Here is a 25302-nt window from a genome sequence, read left to right on the forward strand (position 1 = left end):
GGATATCATTGCTATATTCTCCATGGCTTCCCCTACTCAAGATCCTACAATAGTCTCCCATCGTTTAAATCTTTAATCCATCTTGAATTGATTTTTGTATAAGGTGTAAGGAAGGGATCCAGTTTCAGCTTTCTACATATGGCTAGCCAGTTTTCCCAGCACCATTTATTAAATAGGGAATCCTTTCCCCATTGCTTGTTTTTCTCAGGTTTGTCAAAGATCAGATAGTTGTAGATATGCGGCATTATTTCTGAGGGCTCTGTTCTGTTCCATTGATCTATATCTCTGTTTTGGTACCAGTACCATGCTGTTTTGGTTACTGTAGCCTTGTAGTATAGTTTGAAGTCAGGTAGTGTGATGCCTCCAGCTTTGTTCTTTTGGCTTAGGATTGACTTGGCGATGCGGGCTCTTTTTTGGTTCCATATGAACTTTAAAGTAGTTTTTTCCAATTCTGTGAAGAAAGTCATTGGTAGCTTGATGGGGATGGCATTGAATCTGTAAATTACCTTGGGCAGTATGGCCATTTTCACGATATTGATTCTTCCTACCCATGAGCATGGAATGTTCTTCCATTTGTTTGTGTCCTCTTTTATTTCCTTGAGCAGTGGTTTGTAGTTCTCCTTGAAGAGGTCCTTCACATCCCTTGTAAGTTGGATTCCTAGGTATTTTATTCTCTTTGAAGCAATTGTGAATGGGAGTTCACCCATGATTTGGCTCTCTGTTTGTCTGTTGTTGGTGTATAAGAATGCTTGTGATTTTTGTACATTGATTTTGTATCCTGAGACTTTGCTGAAGTTGCTTATCAGCTTAAGGAGATTTTGGGCTGAGACGATGGGGTTTTCTAGATAAACAATCATGTCGTCTGCAAACAGGGACAATTTGACTTCCTCTTTTCCTAATTGAATACCCTTTATTTCCTTCTCCTGCCTGATTGCCCTGGCCAGAACTTCCAACACTATGTTGAATAGGAGCGGTGAGAGAGGGCATCCCTGTCTTGTGCCAGTTTTCAAAGGGAATGCTTCCAGTTTTTGCCCATTCAGTATGATATTGGCTGTGGGTTTGTCATAAAAACCCTAGAAGAAAACCTAGGCATTACCATTCAGGACATAGGCGTGGGCAAGGACTTCATGTCCAAAACACCAAAAGCAATGGCAACAAAAGCCAAAATTGACAAATGGGATCTAATTAAACTAAAGAGCTTCTGCACAGCAAAAGAAACTACCATCAGAGTGAACAGGCAACCTACAACATGGGAGAAAATTTTCGCAACCTACTCATCTGACAAAGGGCTAATATCCAGAATCTACAATGAACTCAAACAAATTTACAAGAAAAAAACAAACAACCCCATCAAAAAGTGGGCGAAGGACATGAACAGACACTTCTCAAAAGAAGACATTTATGCAGCCAAAAAACACATGAAGAAATGCTCATCATCACTGGCCATCAGAGAAATGCAAATCAAAACCACTATGAGATATCATCTCACACCAGTTAGAATGGCAATCATTAAAAAGTCAGGAAACAACAGGTGCTGGAGAGGATGTGGAGAAATAGGAACACTTTTACACTGTTGGTGGGACTGTAAACTAGTTCAACCATTGTGGAAGTCAGTGTGGCGATTCCTCAGGGATCTAGAACTAGAAATACCATTTGACCCAGCCATCCCATTACTGGGTATATACCCAAAGGACTATAAATCATGCTGCTATAAAGACACATGCACACGTATGTTTATTGCGGCACTATTCACAATAGCAAAGACTTGGAACCAACCCAAATGTCCAACAATGATAGACTGGATTAAGAAAATGTGGCACATATACACCATGGAATACTATGCAGCCATAAAAAATGATGAGTTCATATCCTTTGTAGGGACATGGATGAAATTGGAAACCATCATTCTCAGTAAACTATCGCAAGAACAAAAAACCAAACACCGCATATTCTCACTCATAGGTGGGAATTGAACAATGAGATCACATGGACACAGGAAGGGGAATATCACACTCTGGGGACTGTGGTGGGGTCGGGGGGAGGGGGGAGGGATAGCATTGGGAGATATACCTAATGCTAGATGACACATTAGTGGGTGCAGTGCACCAGCATGGCACATGTATACATATGTAACTAACCTGCACAATGTGCACATGTACCCTAAAACTTAGAGTATAATAAAAAAAAAAAAAAGAAAGGAAAAAAAAAAAAATAAATAAATAAATTAAAAAAAAAAAAAAAAAAAAAAAAAAAAATAGTCTCCCATCACATTTGAAATAAAATTTAAAGTCCTTAAAATGGCCCACAAAAATTTACCTGATCTAACTATTGGCCCCTTCTCCAAATTTATTTTCTGTGACTATTCATTCAGCTCCAACCACATTTGTCATTTTTCTGAACCCCAAAGCATGGCATAGCAGGAAGATCTGGCTTCAAAAACCATATGGTTCCCCCTGCCTGGAATATCTTTCTGCCCAATATCCACCAGGTTAGCACCACACTTCATTGGGTCACTGCTCAAATGCCACATCATCAGAGGTATCTATTGAGACTCCACAATATAAAATAGCAAATATCATACCACTCACACCCTGTCATTTTCTAAACATTGATTTTGCTATCTCTTCACAGCCTTCATGACTCACTAAAATTTTATTGTATGCCTTTTACATTTGTACATTACCTGTTTTCTCTACTAAAATGTAAACACCATAAACACGAAGTTTTAAAATTTTATTCACTGTTAACACTAAAGCACCAAAAACACTGCTTGTTTAACAGAAAGCATTGGATACATTGTAGAAAAATGCAAGGTTGAGTTCAGGAAATTGTCTTGCAGTGATATGTGTGTGCATGTATATTTAAAGCAATTGTAATTCTCTATCTTAGGGTCCACAATTACAAGAGATATTTGTCAAGTTACATCTGGCTGTGCTTACCTTTATGATTGATATGCTAATATTGAATAAAAATAAGTTTATGCAAAAACGACTTCACAGTTGGCTTTTCTCTTCATGACACTCTAGCATAGAACTTTATACAAACCCAGTGGTATAAATAATCCATTCAAATTCTTTTAGAAACTTCCAAACAGTTATGCATAGTGGTTATACTAATTTACATTCCCAGAAAAATATGGAAATAGAAACAAAAATACTATGGTTAAGTTATAGTAGCATACAAAGAAACTCAAATAATTTATACAACTTATAAAATAATTTTAAACAATGAAAGGAAACAAAATTGAGATACGAATGGATTTTGTCCACTAGCTATGTCAATATCCCTGTTTAGATGGCCAAGAGAACTTCAAGTATAGACCCATGTGCCTCATGCATTGTTGTTGTCACTTTTATGTGACCTGCATTTTACTGTACTTATTAGATGGAATCATTTATAAGCTATCATAGAAATCACATATAAACTTCTTTGTGGTTAAAAATAGAAACTGTCTCACCTTTCTTTACATATTTTTAAGACACAATTATGAGCAGTGTGATTCATGTGTCTTTCACTGATTTGGGGGGTGAATCAATTGATTAACAAGTTTTATTCCTATATCAATACCTGATTGCAGGTTATCATTTTCTTTTAAATAACTATACTGTAATTAGTCACTTATTTTGTTATGTGATTTGATTATTGCAATAGATTGTTACAGAAAAATAGTAAAAGTCTATTTTGTCAAGTATGAATCAAATTACCCTGTTAATCAATGTTATTCTACAGGCAACTACAGGCAACTCTCAAGTATTCACAGAATAAATACACATTTTATACATGACAGAAGCCACAGAAGCCAGGGAGCGTCTTGTTCCTTTCAGCTACTTGCCCTTTGGAAAGATTGACTTCATTAGCAATGTTATAAAAGCAGGTTATTTTAAAGCCATCTGCACACCTCAGTAAATAAACAGTGGTTATTAGTGACTCAGCTATAACATAAAATAAAATCTTGATGAAACGTGATAGAAAAACTCAACCAAAATAAGATTTAGGAATTACGTATGATTTTCATGTATTAATTCTTGTTATGGATCTATGCTTCCCTTGGTCTTCATTAGCAGAAAAAAGAAGGAATTTTCTGAAATTTCAAGTTCTTTACAATTCCATTTTCTACTTTTCTTTTTTTACATATCTCTTTCAACATGGTATTGTCCCTTAGTTCCTGTCAATTTTTTTCCTGACTGTAGTCTAGAAGAATATATCTAATAAATGTGACTATGAACTTTTATCACATCAAAATGATTTTTTAAAGTTCTATGGCATTATAGCATAATATTACATGTCATACCCAACGATGTTCTTGCAGGCACTGCATCTTTATTGATCCAAAAAGACACCCAAGAAAGAACAACTGTCAGAATGCATGGAATGTAGGTCTGAATAGTGAAATATCCCATTCTTCTGCTCAGGTCAAAAAAAATTGTCATGATAACATAATCCCCTGTAAGAAAAAAAAGTTTTATTTTGGCTATATAATATAAATCACAATCCATATATTTAAAATAAAAATGTCATTTAATGCTAGCATCATTTCACTATTTGAGTATTCTTTTTACCAGAGATCGTGTGAGTGATTTCAGTTGAGTTCCGTAACCCTACAAATGCAAACTGATATAATCTCCAGTATTTAGGATCAGCCACTTCTACGGAGGGCTTTTTCCACTTATACTCAATTTCATTTTTAGGGTATCCATCTATAGAGAAAAAATACATAGATTAGCAAGATCCAAATTTGATACCATTGCAATGCCAACATTATCCAAAGGTAGATTCTTGGAACTTTCTCCTCTTTTTTTATTACAAGATATGCCAAACATAGAATATTTGAATACAATAAATATTAATAAGCAGAGTTTAATGACTAATCATACATGGATCAAATAATGATAACCCATGTAATCTACTTAAGAAATAGAAACTTGCTAACACACAGAAAACCCAATATGTCCACCCCAATATAGTACTTCCTCCCCAATCTAGAGGTAATAACTATCCTAATTTCTGCGATGATCTTTTCTTTTTAATATAGATTTTTCATATGCATTTCTGAAAAGTATAGCATAGTTTGGGTTCCTTTGAATTTTATTTGATCATTCCCATACTTAAGGCATTCTTTGGCATATTATTTTTTTCTTCTTTTTCCTCATGCTACCTTGTCTAAGAATGTATTTTTTAATATATTGTGATAGTCATCAAAGTTGTACGTAGCTAAATTTCTTCCATTGTAAAAACACACCGAAATTTATCTATTATACTGTTTTAGACATTTGTGGTATTTTCTGTTGGCTATAACCAACATTGCTCTAGTAACATTATTATGCATGCCTCCCGAAACGTGGCATGCAATATGCAAGCATTACTTTAGGATAGAGTATGGAGTAGCTGGGTCATGGGTTACACATAATATCAACTTTATGAGGTAGTGCCAATCTTTTTTCCATAGAGAGTATACTAACATATTCTCCTTTTTTTTTTTTAGACGGAGTCTCACTCTGTTGTCCAGGCTGGAGTGCAGTGGCACGATCTTGGCTCACTGCTAATGTCTGCCGCCCAGGTTCAAGCAATTCTCATGCCTCAGCCTCCCAAGTAGCTGAGACCTATACAGGTGCTTGCCAACACGAATGGCTACCCTTTTTTTTTAATTTTCTTTTTATTTTTATCTTTATTAGAGACAGGGTTTTGCCATGTTGGCCAGGCTATTCTCGAACCCCTGACCTCAGGTGATCTGCTCCCCTCGGCCTCCCAAAGTGCTGAGATTACAGGCATGAGCCACCACGCCTAGCCACTAGCATATTCTCTTATCAGCCAGAGTGTGAAAGTTAACATGAATGCATATTCTCATTAATCTTGATAAATGCAGTCTTCTTCATTTTTACTCGTCCATGAAGTGTATTTTATTTCACATTCTCCTGATTAATAATAAAACCTAGCCTTTAAAAAGTATGTTTATTAGAATTTTGGATTGCTTCTTTGAGGAACTGCTTGTTCAATTGCCCATTATTTATTTTTTACTTTCTCTTATTTTTTCCTCTCTTTTTATATTAATGTTTTATGTATTCTAGATACTAGTCCTTTGTTAAGGAAAATGTTTTTGTCTACTTTGTAGCTGTCTAGAACGGAGGTCTATCCTTTCATCTTTCTAAAAAATATTTCTGTTTCTGGCTTGTATCAGGAATATCTTTGAGGACTTTTTGAACGAACCAAGTGAAAGAAATTTGGGCTAAAAATCTATTTGAGGTAGACTTGTAATTAGATTCTCTCAAGAAGAATCATCTCACCCTGTATGCTGATTTCAGGGGCAACCTCCCTTTTAGCTTTCGGTGGTTGTATGTGTGTGTGTGTGTGTGTGTGTGTTTAGGAGGTAATTCTTCACGTGATCTCAACTGGTCAGGCTTTTGTATGCCAACTTTATGTGGAGATTATGTTCTATTACACTACCATCTTACAATACCATCAAAGCAAAGCTTGAAGGAAATTACCACGTTTTGTCAATGTCCTCAGGTCAAAATCGGCTGCAACTTTACCTTTCTGGTTTACAGTTTTCATGTAGATGTTTGTAGCTAAAAAGTTCTTTCTACGTATGGTCACATACATGTTTTAGAATATTTTAATGGTATAAAATTTTTGTTTTCAACCGAAAGATTGGTAGCACATTACATAAACAGAATTCACTAATTAACTTGAAATTTCAAAAATAGTATATCCATGTATTTTGCACTAGGATCTCTATTAGTCATGCAATGAAATAGTTATCATCTCTGCTGATCTACTTAATAAATAAACTATTTTATCTTTCCTTTTCTCCATCTTCTTTCACTTGCTCTCTAGGGTTGTAGCCATTTTGATTTCTATAGTTTCTGTCTTTACTTTTAAAAAGTTTTAGAGTCAATAGAGGATAGACATAGTATACAGTAGTGTGGGCACAAATAAACATGATTGGCTAAATAGCCACTCTGAATCTCATGATATTAATTTTTAAAATTGGGACTGCAATGAAATCTTCCACACATATTTGTTGTGAAATATTAGATGCAGATGGCTGAATTCTCTACTGGACCCATGTAGAGTGCCTGAAAAAAATTAGCTATGATTATTATATGTTAGCTATTGACACCCAATTAAACTCACAAAGATAAATGATTAATTACTATTAACAACAATCAAAACCAGAGAGCTATCACACCAAAATTTAAGAATGGCTTCTAGAATGAAGAAGTACAACTGCTACATCAATTATTGCATATGAACTTTTCCTTGAGTTCCTTGAATTCTATCAATCAAGTATTTGTTGCTATTTGGCTGTCTTATCCACTTCAAAGTTACTGTTTAAAAATCAAAGCAGTGAGGTAGATCATTAATATAAAAGAATGCTTTAATGAGACAAAATCATTAAGAAAATTCAAGAATATCATTAATAAAAGGCAAAAAAAAATGTGGAAATTTAGTAAGTGAAGAAGTAGGGTTATGCTTATGAATAAAATGTCATATTACACTCTACCAAATTCTAGAATGTGATCTGTGAAAACAATAAATTTCAAAAGAAAGAAAATAGCATTAGACAATTTGTGGGTAAAGGCAACCACATTTTTATAAGCCATTTTACATATTTTTAAGATAATTGTATGTATCTAGAAAAATACTTTTATAAAAATACATGTGAGGATATGTATGTTAGTAAATATAAAATAAAATTAATATAGCTCTGGAAAGGTTATAATTATTTCCTATAAAGAATATACCAGGTTTTTTTTTAGGATAAATAAAAGCATTTTAATATAACTGATATTATACAGTAGGAAAGTAAACCACCACTACACAGCTACAGGAATGAAGAGTTAAAAATACAACATTGAGCAATATAGAAATAGCATAAGTTACCACTTACATTTTTTTTTTTTTGGTTTTGTTTTCTTTTGTTTTTATGTGGAACAAATTTGTTTATTTTATTTTTTTTATTATTATTATACTTTCAGTTTTAGGGTACATGTGCACAATGTGCAGGTTAGTTACATATGTATACATGTGCCATGCTGGTGTGCTGCACCCATTAACTCATCATTTAGCATTACGTATATCTCCTAATGCTATCCCTCCCCCCTCCCCCCACCCCACAACAGTCCCCAGAGTGTGATGTTCCCCTTCCTGTGTCCATGTGTTCTCATTGTTCAATTCCCATCTATGAGTGAGAACATGCGGTGTTTGGTTTTTTGTCCTTGTGATAGTTTACTGAGAATGATGATTTCCAATTTCATCCATGTCCCTACAAAGGACATGAACTCAACATTTTTATGGCTGCATAGTATTCCATGGTGTATATGTGCCACATTTTCTTAATCCAGTCTATCATTGTTGGACATTTGGGTTGGTTCCAAGTCTTTGCTATTGTGAATAGTGCCGCAATAAACATACGTGTGCATGTGTCTTTATAGCAGCATGATCTATAGTCCTTTGGGTATATACCCAGTAATGGGAAGGCTGGGTCAAATGGTATTTCTAGTTCTAGATCCCTGAGGAATCGCCACACTGATTTCCACAATGGTTGAACTAGTTTACTGTCCCACCAACAGTTTAAAAGTGTTCCTATTTCTCCACATCCTCTCCAGCACCTGTTGTTTCCTGACTTTTTAATGATCGCCATTTTAACTGGTGTGAGATGGTATCACATTCTGCTTTTGATTTGCATTTCTCCAATGGCCAGTGATGGTGAGCATTTTTTCATGTGTCTTTTGGCTGCATAAATGTCTTCTTTTGAGAAGTGGAAATGAAGGGTATTCAATTAGGAAAAGAGGAAGTCAAATTGTCCCTGTTTGCAGACGACATCATTGTATATCTAGAAAACCCCATTGTCTCAGCCCAAAATCTCCTTAAGCTGATAAGCAAATTCAGCAAAGTCTCAGGATACAAAATCAATGTACAAAAATCACAAGCATTCTTATACACCAATAACAGACAAACAGAGAGCCAAATCATGAGTGAACTCCCATTCACAATTGCTTCAAAGAGAACAAAATACTTAGGAATCCAACTTACAAGGGACGTGAAGGACCTCTTCAAGGAGAACTACAAACCACTGCTCAATGAAATAAAAGAGGATACAAACAAATGGAAGAACATTCCATGCTCATGGGTAGGAAGAATCAATATCGTGAAAATGGCCATCCTGCCCAAGGTAATTTATAGATTCAATGCCATCCCCATCAAGCTACCAATGACTTTCTTCACAGAATTGGAAAAAACTACTTTAAAGTTCATATGGAACCAAAAAAAAGCCCGCATTGCCAAGTCAATCCTAAGCCAAAAGAACAAAGCTGGAGGCATCACGCTACCTGACTTCAAACTATACTACAAGGCTACAGTAACCAAAACAGCATGGTACTGGTACCAAAACAGAGATATAGATCAACGGAACAGAACAGAGCCCTCAGAAATAACGCCACATATCTACAACTATCTGATCTTTGACAAAGCTGAGAAAAACAAGCAATGGGGAAAATCCTTTCCCCTATTTAATAAATCCCTATTTAATAAATGGTGCTGGGAAAACTGGCTAGCCATATGTAGAAAGGTGAAACTGGATCCCTTCCTTATACCTTATACAAAAATTAATTCAAGATGGATTAAAGACTTAAACCTAAAACCATAAAAACCCTAGAAGAAAACCTAGGCATTACCATTCAGGATATAGGCATGGGCAAGGACTTCATGTCTAAAACACCAAAAGCAATGGCAACAAAAGCCAAAATTGACAAATGGGATCTAATTAAACTAAAGAGCTTCTGCACAGCAAAAGAAACTACCATCAGAGTGAACAGGCAACCTACAAAATGGGAGAAAATTTTTGCAACCTACTTATCTGACAAAGGGCTAATATCCAGAATCTACAATGAACTCAAACAAATTTACAAGAAAAAACAAACAACCCCACCAAAAAGTGGGCAAAGGATAAGAATATACCCGGTTTTTATACTCTAATTATTCACCTCTAACCACTTCTCTATGAATCAATCTTTTTTAATTAAATCAACTTATTTCTACCTTGGTTTTTCTACCTTATTAAAGTAGTCTCAAATATTTGCTATTCGTATGGTAAATACTATTTGCCTAACCAATTTTTGAAACACATTTCAAAATCTAATGTAATAAAGTTAAATCTTGCCTCCAGGAACATGAATATAATTTGAATCACCTTTTCTTGGGGACTGTGTAAAAACATTTGAATACAAACCTATTTTCAATACTCCTTTATTTAATAAAAATAAGCAAATAGCATTGGAATAAAATTAAAAGTTATAAAGAATGTTTTAATAAAATATATGCATTCATAACACATTTATTGTAAACTTTTAGTTTAAAAGCAAGAAGCAAATATATTATTTGTAATTATTTTATCTAAAAGAATTGAACATAACTCACACTTTTGAAAATCCTATTTTATTTTCTTTCTTTTCATTTTTAAATAAACAGCTTCTAAGGTTAAAATTCTATGAAATTATCAAGTGTTTTGTTACTTACAGCTTGAAAATTCCAGTGGACAGGAATGTTCATCCATGGGAAAGTTATGAAGCTGAAGATAACATTCTGCATTAATTGTCAATCTATTTAGATGGAAAGAAAAGTATTAAATAAAGATAAATAATTTGAAGCATTAAAAATCTCCTGTCTCATTTTAAAACAAGATTTTGTCATATGATAATAGATTGTGACCTATTAGAATATAATAATGATTCTAAAGTCTCAAAGTCTTAAATAGCAATAATATTATAATATTTATATATGACAGAATTCTAACAATTTCCTCTTCAGTCAACTAGGTTACCTCTGTATACATTTCAATATGATCTCTGTGTTTACACATAATAATTCATACTTCAATATGTCAGCAAACACACATATGCAAACATAGCAGATTAACAGATTATAAATGGTTAAGTATGGTAATTTTTTCTCTTGGTTTATTATGAATATCTTTTCCATGAAGGATGGTTCTTAATAAGCAGATATGTTTAAGTCAATGAGTTAAATAAACTTGAACCTTATACATCAACCTTCATTTAATCCTTTCTTAGGGATGTTTTACTACACCATTGAAAATTAGAGTATTATAAAATTTTATAGCAGGGTGGGTTTCTAGAGGAAATCTTACTCAATTATTTGCACTGCAGGTTAAGAAAACCATAATCTTTATGCTGCAACCTGTTCTGCTTCAAAGGAAGAAAATCAAAGAATTTTTTCTCTTTGCTTTTAGTCCTTTTCACATAATAATAACTGAGCTTAAAAAAGTATTGCCAAAGTATTTCACCATTTTATATTTTAGCATGTGAAAGGAGCTCCACATTTTTGGTTTTGCAACTTTGAGAAATAAAAAATTAAGAATTGATTAAATATTAGTATGGAAAATAAATGAGAGCAACTACAGATTTTTAAACCAATATTACCTTAGAGTATACAGAACTCGTCCATCATTCCAAATTCGAAGCAGACGATTAGGAGTTGTTATCCAGTGAGCATCAGATTTTCTTGAGTTTCTGAAGAAAGTGTCAGGAATCCAAATTTTTCCAACCATATTACTGTTAAGCATAAGCACTTTCATGGTACTATTGAATTTTAAACGACTGTCAAACCAGGTTTGGGCAAAAATTATATCTATTGTATATTCCTAAAATATAAGAAGAGTAACAACATATTAGTAAAGCTACTATTTTAGTTGTTTTTCTCGAAAGTTTGAATTTTTGTATTGTAAAGTTTCTGCAAGTAACAGTTAAACTCAGTCTTTTCGGAGGAAAAAAATGCCATTATTTTAAACTTTTTTTTTGAGACAGAGTCTCGCTCTGTCTCCCAGGCCGGAGTGCAGTGATGCAATCTCGGCTCACCGCAAGCTCCGCCTCCCGGGTTCACGCCATTCTCCTGCCTCAGCCTCCGGAGGAGCTGGGACAACAGGCACCCGCCACCACGCCTGGCTAATTTTTTGTATTTTTAGTAGAGAGGGGGTTTCACCGTGTTAGCCAGGATGGTCTCGATCTCCTGACCTCGTGATCTGCCCGGCTCATCCTCCCAAAGTGCTGGGATTACAGGCGTGAGCCACCGCACACGGCCTAAACTTTCTTTCTGTTTGCATGAGTCATGTAAAATGAAATCCAAGATTTCAAGTAGTTATTGTTGCACAGTTGGCTTTATTATTTTTTATTTTTTGTGTGTGAATTTTACTCAAGATTTTGTAGTATGTAGGATGTACTCATTAAACTTAAAAGCAAGTTATCTTAATGTCAACAATTATATTAATTTATACATACAGTTTAAGTCACATAAACAAAAAAGAAACTAGACGCAAAAAACAACCAAATTTTTTAAGAGCCCTTACATTGTTTTTTGTCTAAAAAGTTAATTCCAATTATTTATATCTACTGTTTTTAAATGTTTTAAAGCAACCACAAACTAACTTACTGAGCAATTATAAAATGCCAAACATATGTTAAGAGCTTTGCATGTTCATCTCACTAAATCTTTATTGCAACTCTGTGAAATATGTACTACTATAATCATTATTTTTCAGTAACATCTATTAATAGAAATATAAAATAATTCTTCTCACATCACAGAACTAATAAGCAGTTGATATGGAAACTGAGCCACTGCAGGCTAAATCCCAAGTCCACATCCATAACAAATGCATATAATGGTGGTTATAGTGAAGTCTGATGGGTTCCAAGGTTAGAGCAAAGCCTTTGTCCATAGTAACTGTAATTAGGAAATTCCACAATTAACAGAGAACCTTCAAGAGTAGATGATTAGATATTATCTACCTTTGTATCCTGACAAAATGTCTGCCATATTACAGGCATTTAACATATATAAAATGAACAAGAATGCAGCAGTAATCAATGCCATAGAGGAAAGGAAATAAATATACATATATATTATATATATGTACTATATATATTTATGTGTGCGTGTATATATGTGTGTGTATATATGTGTGTGTATGTATGTTTGCATGTGTATGTATATACTTTTGATATTTAAAAGAATAAGTAAATTGAAAAATAGGTATTATATAAGTTACTTCTGGTGGGAGAGATTGATTACTTGCACTTGATGTCGTATTAGCAATTGGCCAATTTTCCTGAAGGAAAATATTTAATATAAGAAATGGAAGTACAATTGGGGAAGTGGCCAATAAATGAAAAATGGAAAAAAAAATTACAAGTGGTTCATAAGTAAACAAACTAGATTCAACTTATTTATAGGGAAGTTGGATCAAATCCTAGGTTCCAGGCATACTACTTATAATTACAATTTGCTTAACTGGAATATAAAAATAAATTGAGAAGCTACCTCATTTTATCTATTTTTGATGAACAGTGTTACAATTCTGGAAAAGCATATACATAATAATTATTTAAAATCCAATAGGTACCAGAAACTATGTAATTGAGTATGAGATGTATGTTTTATAAAGGGCTTAAAATATATACACTTATAATTCTGAATAATTTATTCATATAATGAAGTAATGTGTAATCATTCAATAGTCTACCTATATATTTAACATCTATATTATGTCAGTCATTGTTTTGAATGGATTTAAAATATGAAGTTTTTGTGCACAAAAATGCTTGCATCATGACCCTCTCTTTACATAATTTTGATTGCTGTGCTAGAGTAACTTAGGGAGATAATTAAAATTTTATTTTTTGCAACTTAATATGGGATGGCACAGATCAAACTGTGCTGTGGAATATGGACTGAAAGTACTTTTGCAACCATGTAAGCCTTATAAATCTGATAGCCACACCCTTGCTTATATACTGTGTTTAAAGCACAGGCTGAGTCATAAGGCAAACCGCATCCCATAATACATAGTAATTCGTATTTACGCTGTAGATGTTTAATCATCTTATTGAGTAATATTAATGGAGTAACACATAAATTGTGCATGCATTTAGGAGGTCCAAGAGACCCTTATACACAACATCACTGGTGTACCTATTCTTTGAACCTTGTGAAAAATTCTTGGACAACTTCACTGAAGTTATCATTAATCCCCACTCTGCCTGCCTGTGTCTCAGGCCAGATGTTTTGTCTTTGGAATCAATTATAATTTAGCCAAGCAGCCTCTTCACCTGACACAAATGACTAACCATTCAGTCTAACCATGTAACCTACGCTAATGACATGATGTCTAATTTTAATGGCAAATACAAATAGACAGAAGGCTCAAACTCTACTATGGTAAACTAAATGCCCTGGAAAGAGCATTTAGTCAACTTTATTTGCCAGAATTATGTTGTACTGTTGCATAGGATCAAACAGCAGAAACTACTTAAGATACCAGTAAGGATTGCGGCTAGGCAAATATTCAACACTGGTTGGTAGAGGGAATGTAATGCTACTTGGCAGTTATACTTAGCTGCAGTATTCCTAATTCACAGGGCATTAAATGTGGCACTTGAGAACCAATTTGTCTAAGGCTGGGATTTCCAAAGCAGCTGTCAATACTGCTTAGCAGCTGCAGGACCTTCTTTAAAATCCCTGATTCTGGAAGTGTTAATCACTGTTGGAAGACTTATGATTTCCAAAGGATCAGAAATGGAAAAAGTTTTCTACTCACAGTTGTCCCCTCAATCTAATATCAAGAAGAGAAAGACTCAGAGCATATGTCTTGATAATCCATCCATCCCAAGCCCTTTGCAGAAGCTAATACTTATAAGCCCTTTTAAATTGCTAATTTTTAATAAATGCCTCACTGAAATAAGAAGACCATTAAAATCTATGCCATGTTACACGTAATAAAAAAAAATCCAGTTTTGTATTAGTGTAATTTCCAGCAAACGACCAAACTGCTCTTGTACTTCATGTTCCTGTTCACAGGTTATAATGATCTACACAAGAAATAAGCAAAAGAAAAACATAAAATCGAACTTCTGTTTACTCAGAACGAAAATACAAGAGTTTCTAAGATAAACATTTTGAGATAAGGAACAGTGCATTTAAAATTTGACATCCAATGTACTTTACAAAATGTGCTGTATCTCCTTGCAAGTTAGCTGACAAAACAGCATTAGTGAATAAATGTGAAGTGAGCCATTTTGATTCCTAACTTAATAAAATCAAATAATAATTGATAAGTGTGTAGTGCAGTCTCATTACTACATTGTCAGTTTGCAATTAAGCACTGTATCTCACATTTCAAATTACCAGTTAATTCAATATTACTGTCTTTCTAGTAATGGGAGAAACTTCACAAAAAATTCAAGACCTGCCAAAGCAATTAACCTAGGTGCATAATTTCATCATAAAATTTGATTGATCCTGATTTATTATTCCTATGTTGGCATTAATCTCTTCCAAAACTGTCTAGTCACATGGCCAGAAGAGAACGGTGGACCTAATAATTTTTAGCAGTAATGGAGCTATAGACATGTAGAGAAAAAGTACAAGTACAGCTAATCCATAGGACAATTAAATACCTTTAGTGGTAAAATTTTATAGGTATCAGCTCCAGTTTGCTTAATTATTGTAAAAGCACCAGCTTCTGAATTCTAGCAGGAAGAGGTAAATACAAAACTTGGTGTTATTCTATGTTTGAAATAGAAAAAGAAATAGGGAACAAAGAGGTTATGCCAATTGCTTAAATCATTGAAGTCATCAGCAATACAGGAGAGAGATTCAAAAAGTAGACACATATTCTGGATTCAGCTACTAACCCTTTGTGCTCTCTTTTTATATCTATGAATGTAGATTGCCAAAGGCACATAGCATCGTGTGCATTCATCAATTAAATTTTTAGCAGACATTTTTCAGTGTTCTTGTTAGTTTTATAATGTACTTGGTTTACAAAGACGAAAATGGAACCTTCTTGGTATGAACATATACATCATAAAATTGGAAATTAATAAAATGTAGAAGGGGTATAAAGAGAAATAGAAATAGTAGAGATTATTTTTAGTTAGGGGAACTTAAGAAAGATTTCACGACAGATGTTGCATTTAACCTGAAACCTGTAAGATTTGGAAATATTTTGATTTATGCACCAATTAGTAAATGGTGGAGGGAAGGGAGAGGACAAAGAGGCAGTAAAGGGCAGGGCGGGATGGAAAATAAAGAATGCAAGCCATATATAATGAAAAAGTAGACATCTTCTGTATGTCAGGGAATGTACATTCCTCAAATACACAGGGTATCCTACATCTGGAAGAGCTTTTTAGCAACTATTATCTAAAATTACCAATTTCCAATGATTGACCCTGCAGCCTAGAAACAGCTCTGAACACTGCACTGAGAATAATGAACTGAAAATCCTAGCACTTCATGTGTTAATTTTCTGCATCATGCTCAATCAACATTTCCTACTGGAAATATATAACTATATTTCCAGAATATATATTATATAATATTCTGTATAAAAATCAAAAGAGTAAAATATCAAACATTATATTCACAGAACAGTTAAACTATATAAAATAGACCATGAAGTAATGCAATCTGTAGGGTTTTATAAACCCTATGAATGAACTCCCAGTTCTTAAGAAGTTACAATAAAATAGGACAAGGTCAGCTTCCAGACCTTGGAATATATATAGTACCTGAGTACCTGAATTCTGGGTTTGGAGCAAGCTATTCTTGTGAGCTTGTATTAGTAAAGGTACTCCATAGAAACACAGCCAACGGGATAAATAGGTGGGCATATAGATGCTGACTGATAGGTAGAGGGATAGATAGATGAAAGAGAGAAAGGGAAAAGAGAGTTGAATCATGTGATATTGTAGGGGCTGGAAAGTGCAAAATGTGCAGGGAAGACTGGTAGTTAGGGAGCCAGGGAAGAGTTTATGATTCAGTCTTGAAGCCAAAGGCAGTCTGCAGCCTGAGTCTCTTCTTCCTAGAGGAACCTCAGTCAATCTTTAAAGTGCTCATCTGACTGGTTGAGGCCCAACTACATTATAGAGGGTAAACTGTTTACTCAAAAACTACTGATTTCAATGTGAATCACATCTAAATAATACCTTCACAGCAACATCTGAACTGGAATTTAGCCAAATACAGTCATGCACTGCCTAATGACATTTTCAGTCAATGATGTACAACGTTGGTACCATAAAATTACAATGCAGCTGAAAAATTCCCATCACCTAGTGATGTTGTGGCCATTCTAACGTCCTAGCACAACAGATTACTTACGTCTTTCTGGTGATGCTGATATAAACAAACCTATTATGCTGCCAGTTGTTTAAAAGTATAATACACACAATTATGCACAGTGCATAGTATTTGGTAATGGTAATGGTAATAAATAACTAACTTAATACTGGTTTACATATTTACCATACAATAATTTCTATCATTATTTCAGATTATCCTCTTTCTACTTTATACACACACAGACACAACAAATATATATGTTAACTGTATTATATATATACATAACACATATATATGTTAACTGTAAAATGACAGAAAGTATAGCATAATAAATACATAAATGAAAATACACACACATATGTTATATATATAATATATAAATATATTATAATGTAATGTATATGATGTATTTATGTATTTGTATACAATATGTATATGTACCATTATATATGTTAACTGTAAAACATCCTCAGGCAAGTCCTTCAGTAGGTATTCCAGACGACGTATTGTTATCAGATCAGATGACAGCTTTATGCATGTTATTGCCCCTGAAGACCTTCTAGTGGGACAAGATGTGGAGGTGGAGGACAGTAATGATGATGATTCTGACCATGTAGACTAATGTGTAGGATTTTTAGTTTTTAACAAAATGTTGAAAAAGCTAAAAAAAAAATTGAAAAAAGCAAAAGCTTACAAAATAATGACACAAAGAAAATACTTTGTACAGTTGTAAAATGTTTTTAAGCTGTTATGAAAATGTCAAACTTATAATAAATTTATAAAATAAAAAATTCAGTAAGCTGATAATAATTTGTTATTGAAGAAAGAAATTAAAAAATTAATTTAGTGTATTCTAAGTGCACAGTGTTTATAAGGTCTAAAGTAGTGCAAAGTAATGTCCAGGCCTTCACATTCACTCACCACTCACTCACTGACTCACCCAGAGCAACTTCCCTGTCTGCAAGCCTTCAGTAATAAGCCTCTTATGCAGGTATACCATTTTTATCTTTTATACCATATTTTTACTGTATTTTTCTATGTTTAGGTATGTTTAGATATGCAAATGCTTATTGTGTTACAATTACCTGTGACATTCAGTTTAATAATATTCTTTACAGGTTTGTATCCTAGAAGCATTGGGCTATATGATACAGCCACAGTATGTAGTAGACTATACCATGTAGGTTTGTGTAAATACATTCTGTGATGTTTCCACAATGGTGAAATTGACTAAAGATACATTTCTTATAATGTGTCTCTGTCATTAAGTGATACATAACTGTATTTGGGCACCATAGCCTGGCTAAGTTGACATGTAAAATTAACCATCACAGAGCTATTAACAGTAGGAATAGACACCCATGGATTGAGAACGCTTTTATAAAAATTATCCATGTGTTTCTTTTCCAGACAAGGGACAATTTATACTGTGGCAAGAAGGAACATATTCCTCCATCTCATGTTCTCTATGAAAATCTGTATTCTTGTCATTTTGTTCCATCTCTTGGTCTCTCTGAAGTTTGCTTCATATTTCTCAATTGAGTGGATGTAATATATTAAAAATCCATTACCTATAGATTATTGTCTCTGTTTATTTTTCTGCACTTTGAACTTGATCTGAATGACCATGAAATCTGAAAAGAAGTGATCTACACTGAAAACATAAGAGTATTGAGTGATGTTTCAAGAAAATAAGGGCAGAAAAACCATTGTGATGCTAGCTTCGCATGTGCGATGAATTTTTTAATTAAGTGAGATATAATAGAAGTGTGTTTACCTGTTTTTTAAACCTATTTTAAACTTACTTTGCCTCTGCTGAGATTCAATACTGATTTAAAACGGAGCAGTTCTTAGTAAAAATACTAATATTTGACAGATTTTAGATATATTTATGATAATATAATTTTTATTTAAAATCTAGCAATCTGGCAAAAGAGTAAAGAATTTCATGAAGTTAGTTTATGTCAAGAGTTGTCATATGCCATAAAATAATTTAAAAAATAATTATCCAAAAACATGCCTACTATTTTTGATAAATTAGAAATGTTTCCATAAACCTTTATTAAATTTAAATAAATATATATTTGATAGCCTTTCATTTAAGCAGGGAAAGCTAATGTAATTCCCTTCACAATATTTTCATTTGCTTTCCAGATTCCATCAAATTGTTTTTGCCCAGTGACTATTCTATATTGCCAAGCTCTATCTTCTCATTTTTTCCTGCTTTTCCCTCATTTTAATTGAGATACAAGGAAGCCTTTCCAAGATCATAGAACGTGTAAGAGATTCTGATCATGTACTCCACAATTTTAAACTCTTTACCGTAACTCAGGTCATCCATATGAGGCAAAAATTTTTAAACCAGAGAAATGAAATTTATATTTTGACAATTAGTAGTTTTGGTCACTTATTTCATACTTACCTTTCTTTTATCTTGTTTTTTACTTTCATGGCATTTGTATCTATGTTATCACTGTGGGTTATTTGGATGAATAAATGATTGAATAAGTCTAACTTGCATGGAGCACGCTTCCTAAGTATGAAACATAGTATGGTAACAAATATACAAAAGATCCCCTTTATTCATGGGGATACATTCCAAGATCCCCATTGAATGCCTGCAATCTTGAATAGTTGGGAACCCTATATATACCATGTTTTTTCCTATACATAAGTACCTATGATAATGTTCAACTGATAAATTACGCACAATAAGAGACTGACAACAATGAATGATACAATATAATTTTAATAACAAAATACTGTACTGAAAGTTCTATGAATGTGATCTCTACCTTCTTTTCAAAATATCTTACTGTACTGTGTTCACCTATTTTTGGATCATTGTTGACCATGGGTAACTGAAACCACAGAAAGCAAAACCACAGATAAGGAGGGACTATTGTATAAACACACTCAAACTATACTTCCCCATTACAGTTTATTACCAATTAACAGCATGATAAGAAGTTCTCTGTGACAAATGATTGATATTCAGATGAAGGTTCTGCTTCCTAGAAAAGCTTCATAGCCAATAGGCAAACTTGCTTTCTATCCACATGTGCAACATTTGTTATAGATTGGTTCAGTGCTAAACAGCTAGATTAATTGCTGTATGATCTGAATGGGAAAAGTGTTTCTACATCTGTGACTGCCCTGTACTAAAAATATTTTCTTGATGTCTGAATTAGTCTGTCCATCTGAGCAAGAGAGAACACTATATTTGGAAATGATATATTTAGAAATAGTCCACGTGACTCATGTTTTAAATTATTTATATTATTACCAGTTTATAAAATGCTTACTGTTGTCCACAGTCCAGCTGCAGAAAATGAAAAACTTTCCAACATTGTATCCTGCTAGTGGGGCATTATTTGCACTGCTGTCGGAAGCACTTGCTGCTTCTGTTTACCTGAGGAGTTTGAATCCTATTGCACATGTCACAAAGCTAGGTACCCCTACCAGGAAATCCAAGGCTTATCATACAGTTTTAACAATTTCAGTTATGGTAATTTGTTACAATTTTTATTATAACAAAATGTCCGAAGTCAAGATATTTAAATAAGTTTTCTCTGCTTCACATTTTAATTAAACTGAAGAGCAGCTGGTGTTAGTTCAAATTCATTGCCAATCTAAGACAAACCTTTACTACATTGTTTTAAGCCTTTGCTAGATATAAAAATAACACATTGAATAAGGGATAAGGTATTGTCTTTTAATTACGTACATAATTTTAAATACTTTCCAGATAATCAATAGAACAAATACTGAATATATCCAAAGTATGCATTACAGTAAGAGTAATGTGTAGTACAAAGAACACTGATTGGATGGAATGGGAAAATTTTGTCATAATTCTGATTCTGAGACTTACTAGAGTAGGGTGCTGACTGAGTCACTTATACACTCTTATTGGCGAAATGTGGGCAAAAGGCAAGATCATAATTATTATATTTCCCAGCTCTAAGACTCTATGATCATGAAAACATTATAAAATATTAGAAATTAATATATATATATTTTAAAAAGTCCTACCTATAAGGAGGGATAAAGCCTAAGATGAACACGGTTTCTTTCAATGACTCTTCCTCATACAAATACTTTCAGTCCGTAAGTACCATTGTTTACTTTCCTTTAATCCTACCTAATCCCTACTAAATTTATAGGTGAAAATGGCCTAGACTAGTAATCTCCAAACCTGGTTGACTAGAATTCTCTGATAAGCACTTTCAAAATTCTTTTTGTTAATTTTTAACTTTTTTACTTTGAACATTTTATTTTAAAATTTTACTTAGAATTTTATTTTAAAAAATTAGAGGCAAGAGCTCACTGTATTGCCCGAGCTGGTTTTGAACTCCTGAGCTCAGGTGATCCTCCCGCCTCGGCCTCCTGAAGTGCTAGGAATACAGGCGTGAGCCACTGTGCCCAGCCAGCATTTTCAAAATTCTAATTCCAGGACTCCATCTGAGATTACTGTATCCGAATCCCCTGGCCTGAGAACTTGGTTTTTTCTTTTTCACAAAATTGCCTTTTTCCTGTCTATCATTTGGGGTTATGAAGGTTTGAAAAACTATGGCTTTATATTCCATTTCTTTACCAGGGTGTAAATATCTACAAAAAATTTAAAAAATCAAATAAAAGAAGAAAGAAAGAAAGGTCCTTGCTATATAAAGAAAATTCTATCTAATTGCAGAATTCCAGGACATTTAAGTGCATTTTGGAGTTTATATAATATCTTTTGCAGCAACATGGATGGAACTGGAGGCCATTGAGTGAAACAACTCAGATAAAGAAAGATAAATACAAATATTTCCATTTATAAGTGGGAACGTAAAACTCTGTACACATGGATGTAGTGTGTGGAATGAGAGACAATGGAGATTCAGGAGGGTGGAGTGGCAGAGTGGTGAGGAAGATAATAAATTCCTTAACGGGTAAATGTACATTATTGTGATGATGGCTACCCTAAAAGCCTGACTTCACCACAGCACAACCTATCCATGTGACAAAATTATACTTGTACCCCATACAATCCTATAAATTAAAAAATCTACAGATGAGAAAAATTGTCTAGGACTCTTCAATCTGAATCATGGAGGCTACCATTTTTCTAAACAGTAGCTCTTTATACTAAAATCTATATGAAAATATGTGTGTTTGTGCGTGTATGCATATGTACATTTAAGGAAATTTTGGTTTTTAACATTCAACTAACATATGTATCTCTACACAGTTTTAGAATGTAATCTCCTAACATGACAAAATATGAACTACCTAAATTTATCTTAGGTCATGTTCATATATATATATATATATATATATATATATATATATATATATGCTAAATTACTTTTTCTTAGATATGTATGGTTGGATGTGTGTTTTTATTATTAGCAAAGTCACTCTTTTCTGATAAATAAATGGGTAAATAAAGGTGTAAAAAATTAGGAATCATAAGAGTATGTTTGAATCAGCTATAACATCTGAGATTTGGAATAGTGACTTGGAGCAGCCAGTTAAAGCAAGGCCAAAAACCAAGTTTTAAGTACATTTATGATAGTCATGAGCTGAAGCAAACTAGACATTCATTCTGTCAGAACATTGCCCACAAACCTGCCCTGAGGCCAGAATTACCAAGCAGTACATTCTACAACATTCTATGATTACTAACCCATAAAAAACTAAAAAAATTGTAACCAATTCAAGACTGTTTGCCTTGAGGTATCTATCTTGAAGTTTCAAAAAATTCAAAAAATTTTTGAATTTGTTTTCTAGGCATTCAAAATATTCACTTTCAATATTTGACCAAAATCTGAGAGGTCTAGGGTGTGTATATATATAGCCTGAAGAAATAATAATGGTGGCTAAAATATTTAATAATAATATTACTCTTAATTACAGCAAATTGGAACTATTCCACATGTAAAATAATTCATTACTAAATAATATGCAACATTTAACGGATTTCTTAAAAGTAATGACATAGTATATCATTACTTTTAAAAAATCCGTTAAATGTTGCATATTATTTACAATGAGAACACATGGACACAGGAAGGGGAACATCACACACTGGGGACTGTTGTGGGGTAGGGGGAGGGGGGAGGGATAGCATTAGGAGATATACCTAATGCTAAATGACAAGTTAATGGGTGCAGCACACCAACATGGCACATGTATACATATGTAACAAACCTGCACGTTGTGCACATGTACCCTAAAACTTAAAGTATAATAATAGCAATAAAATATTTTTAAAAAAAGTAATGACATAGTATAACACATAGAAAAACATAATACTATAAAACAGTGAGGTTAATAAAGCATTGGGTAAAACTATGTACATAAAGTTATGATCATAACAATGGTGACCACTAGATATAATATTTCAGGATATTTTAAATTTTTTCTTCTATCTAAATTAAATTTCTAATTTTCTTGGTTGAGTATGTATTTCTTTTATAATAAAAAACTATTTTTATGAAGAACATCTTTAGAAGAAAATAGCATTAGGATCACCATTTACAATTTAAAATAGGTATAACTTCACACACAGAATTTTTTTTGCCTTTTCCCTTCTCTCTCAGTCTAATTTGCATTTTTAGTCATCTTCCCTGCTAGGTTTTATGTCTTCTGAAGAAAGGATGACATATCTTTTCTGATATCTTTTTTTAACAATGAACCAATTGTCACTATAATAAATGGTAAATAAATATATGACAGACAAATAAAACAATGAAATATATATATACATATAAAATGTGTATTTGAATTAAGAAATAAAATTATTTTGATAATTTTTAGAGATTCTAAGGTTAATCTAATTTCCTAATACTAGGAACTTTCACTTCATATTTATAGAGTCAATGAACACACTGGATAAAAGAAACAGCGATGAAAATGACTTTTATTTATTTCTAATATTTAATTTTTTCTCTATAAATGTTGAATCAAAAGTAACTAAATTTTTTATTATTTTAAAATAAGATCTGTTAAAAAATATATTTTATGTAGTGACAAAAAGTTAATATATGCAGAAGAAAAGAAATTAAAACCATAGTTTCAAGCTTTAAAATACTGCAAACACCAAGAAAATAAACTTATAATAGATTTTAAAAATACAAATGTGTTTCCTAAAGTACTGCAATTAATCACATCTAAGAAGACTAATACCTTTTTCTTCCCCACCATTGGCATATGCAGGTCAGTTATCTAAATAGCAAACAAAATCTTATTTCCAAGCATTTGCCATTTCAAAATTCTTCAAGCTAATGTACTTGGCAAGAATTGCCTCTTTCCAGTTAATATAGTAAAATGAATAAAAAGGGTTTCTTTGATGTGTAGAAACTATAGCTAAAGGTTTTATCTCCTAAAACTAGAAGCCCAGAAACATACAAGGGAGAGAGGGACAGAGAAAGGGAGGGTGGCAGGGAGAAAAAGAGAGGGTGAGAAAGAGATCAGCCTATGGAATGCCGGAACCAATTGCATGAACCACCCTAGAAACATGTGTTTCTTGCAATGGAATAAATTATATGGAAAGAATATCTCTATGAGCACCAGTTTTCTCCATATGTTTAGAATGCTTAAATACAAGTTATATGTCTTGAGAGTTTATTATCAAAATGAGTTTGAAAAGTTAAAGAGGCTTACTTAAAAGTCAGTTCTCACCATTTTGAACTGCCTCTTAAAGCTATTTGACCATAGATTTTGGTCAAATATTGAAAGTGAATATTTTGAATTTTTATAAAACAAATTAAAAAATTTTTTGAATTTTTTGACACTTCAAGATAGATACCTCAAGGTAGACAGTCTTGAATTGGTTACAATTTTTTCTAGTTTTTTATGGGTTAGTAATCATAGCCTATCTACATTAAGGTTGGATACTTGGCCATTTCACTTAAATAAAGGAAAAACAATATTATTGAGAAAAATCCCTCATTTACATTCTATAATAAATAATGTTTGTGACTTCTGTAGCTCCACATACATTTTTGTTTAAAAAGTTTTGTTTTTTTTTTTTCCTTTTGTAGAAAGCAATTCGATTTTCGTTTTCTGTTAAAAAAGATTCTGAAAATGGGCATTCCTGTTACATATTTCTGCACAGGCCAGAATGAAAGCATTCTGTCATTTGCTAAGTTAGCCTGATCCTCTTTGCCTACTGCT

General features: G+C 33.1%; 1 protein-coding gene across 2 annotated transcripts in view; it reads right to left on the reverse strand.

Annotated features, from left to right (window-relative positions):
• Window positions 1–25302, reverse strand: part of GABRG1 (gamma-aminobutyric acid type A receptor subunit gamma1) — an 88286-nt gene that overhangs the window by 18157 nt on the left and 44827 nt on the right. For both annotated transcript variants that reach the window (NM_173536.4, XM_017007990.2), the window contains 4 exons: window positions 11439–11659; window positions 10516–10598; window positions 4560–4697; window positions 4292–4444 (listed from right to left, as the gene is read on the reverse strand). In NM_173536.4, the coding sequence (NP_775807.2) occupies window positions 4292–4444; window positions 4560–4697; window positions 10516–10598; window positions 11439–11659 (595 nt within the window). The remainder of the gene's footprint in view (window positions 1–4291; window positions 4445–4559; window positions 4698–10515; window positions 10599–11438; window positions 11660–25302) is intronic.

Source organism: Homo sapiens, chromosome 4 (assembly GCF_000001405.40).
Source record: "Homo sapiens chromosome 4, GRCh38.p14 Primary Assembly".
Lineage (NCBI taxonomy): Eukaryota > Metazoa > Chordata > Mammalia > Primates > Hominidae > Homo > Homo sapiens.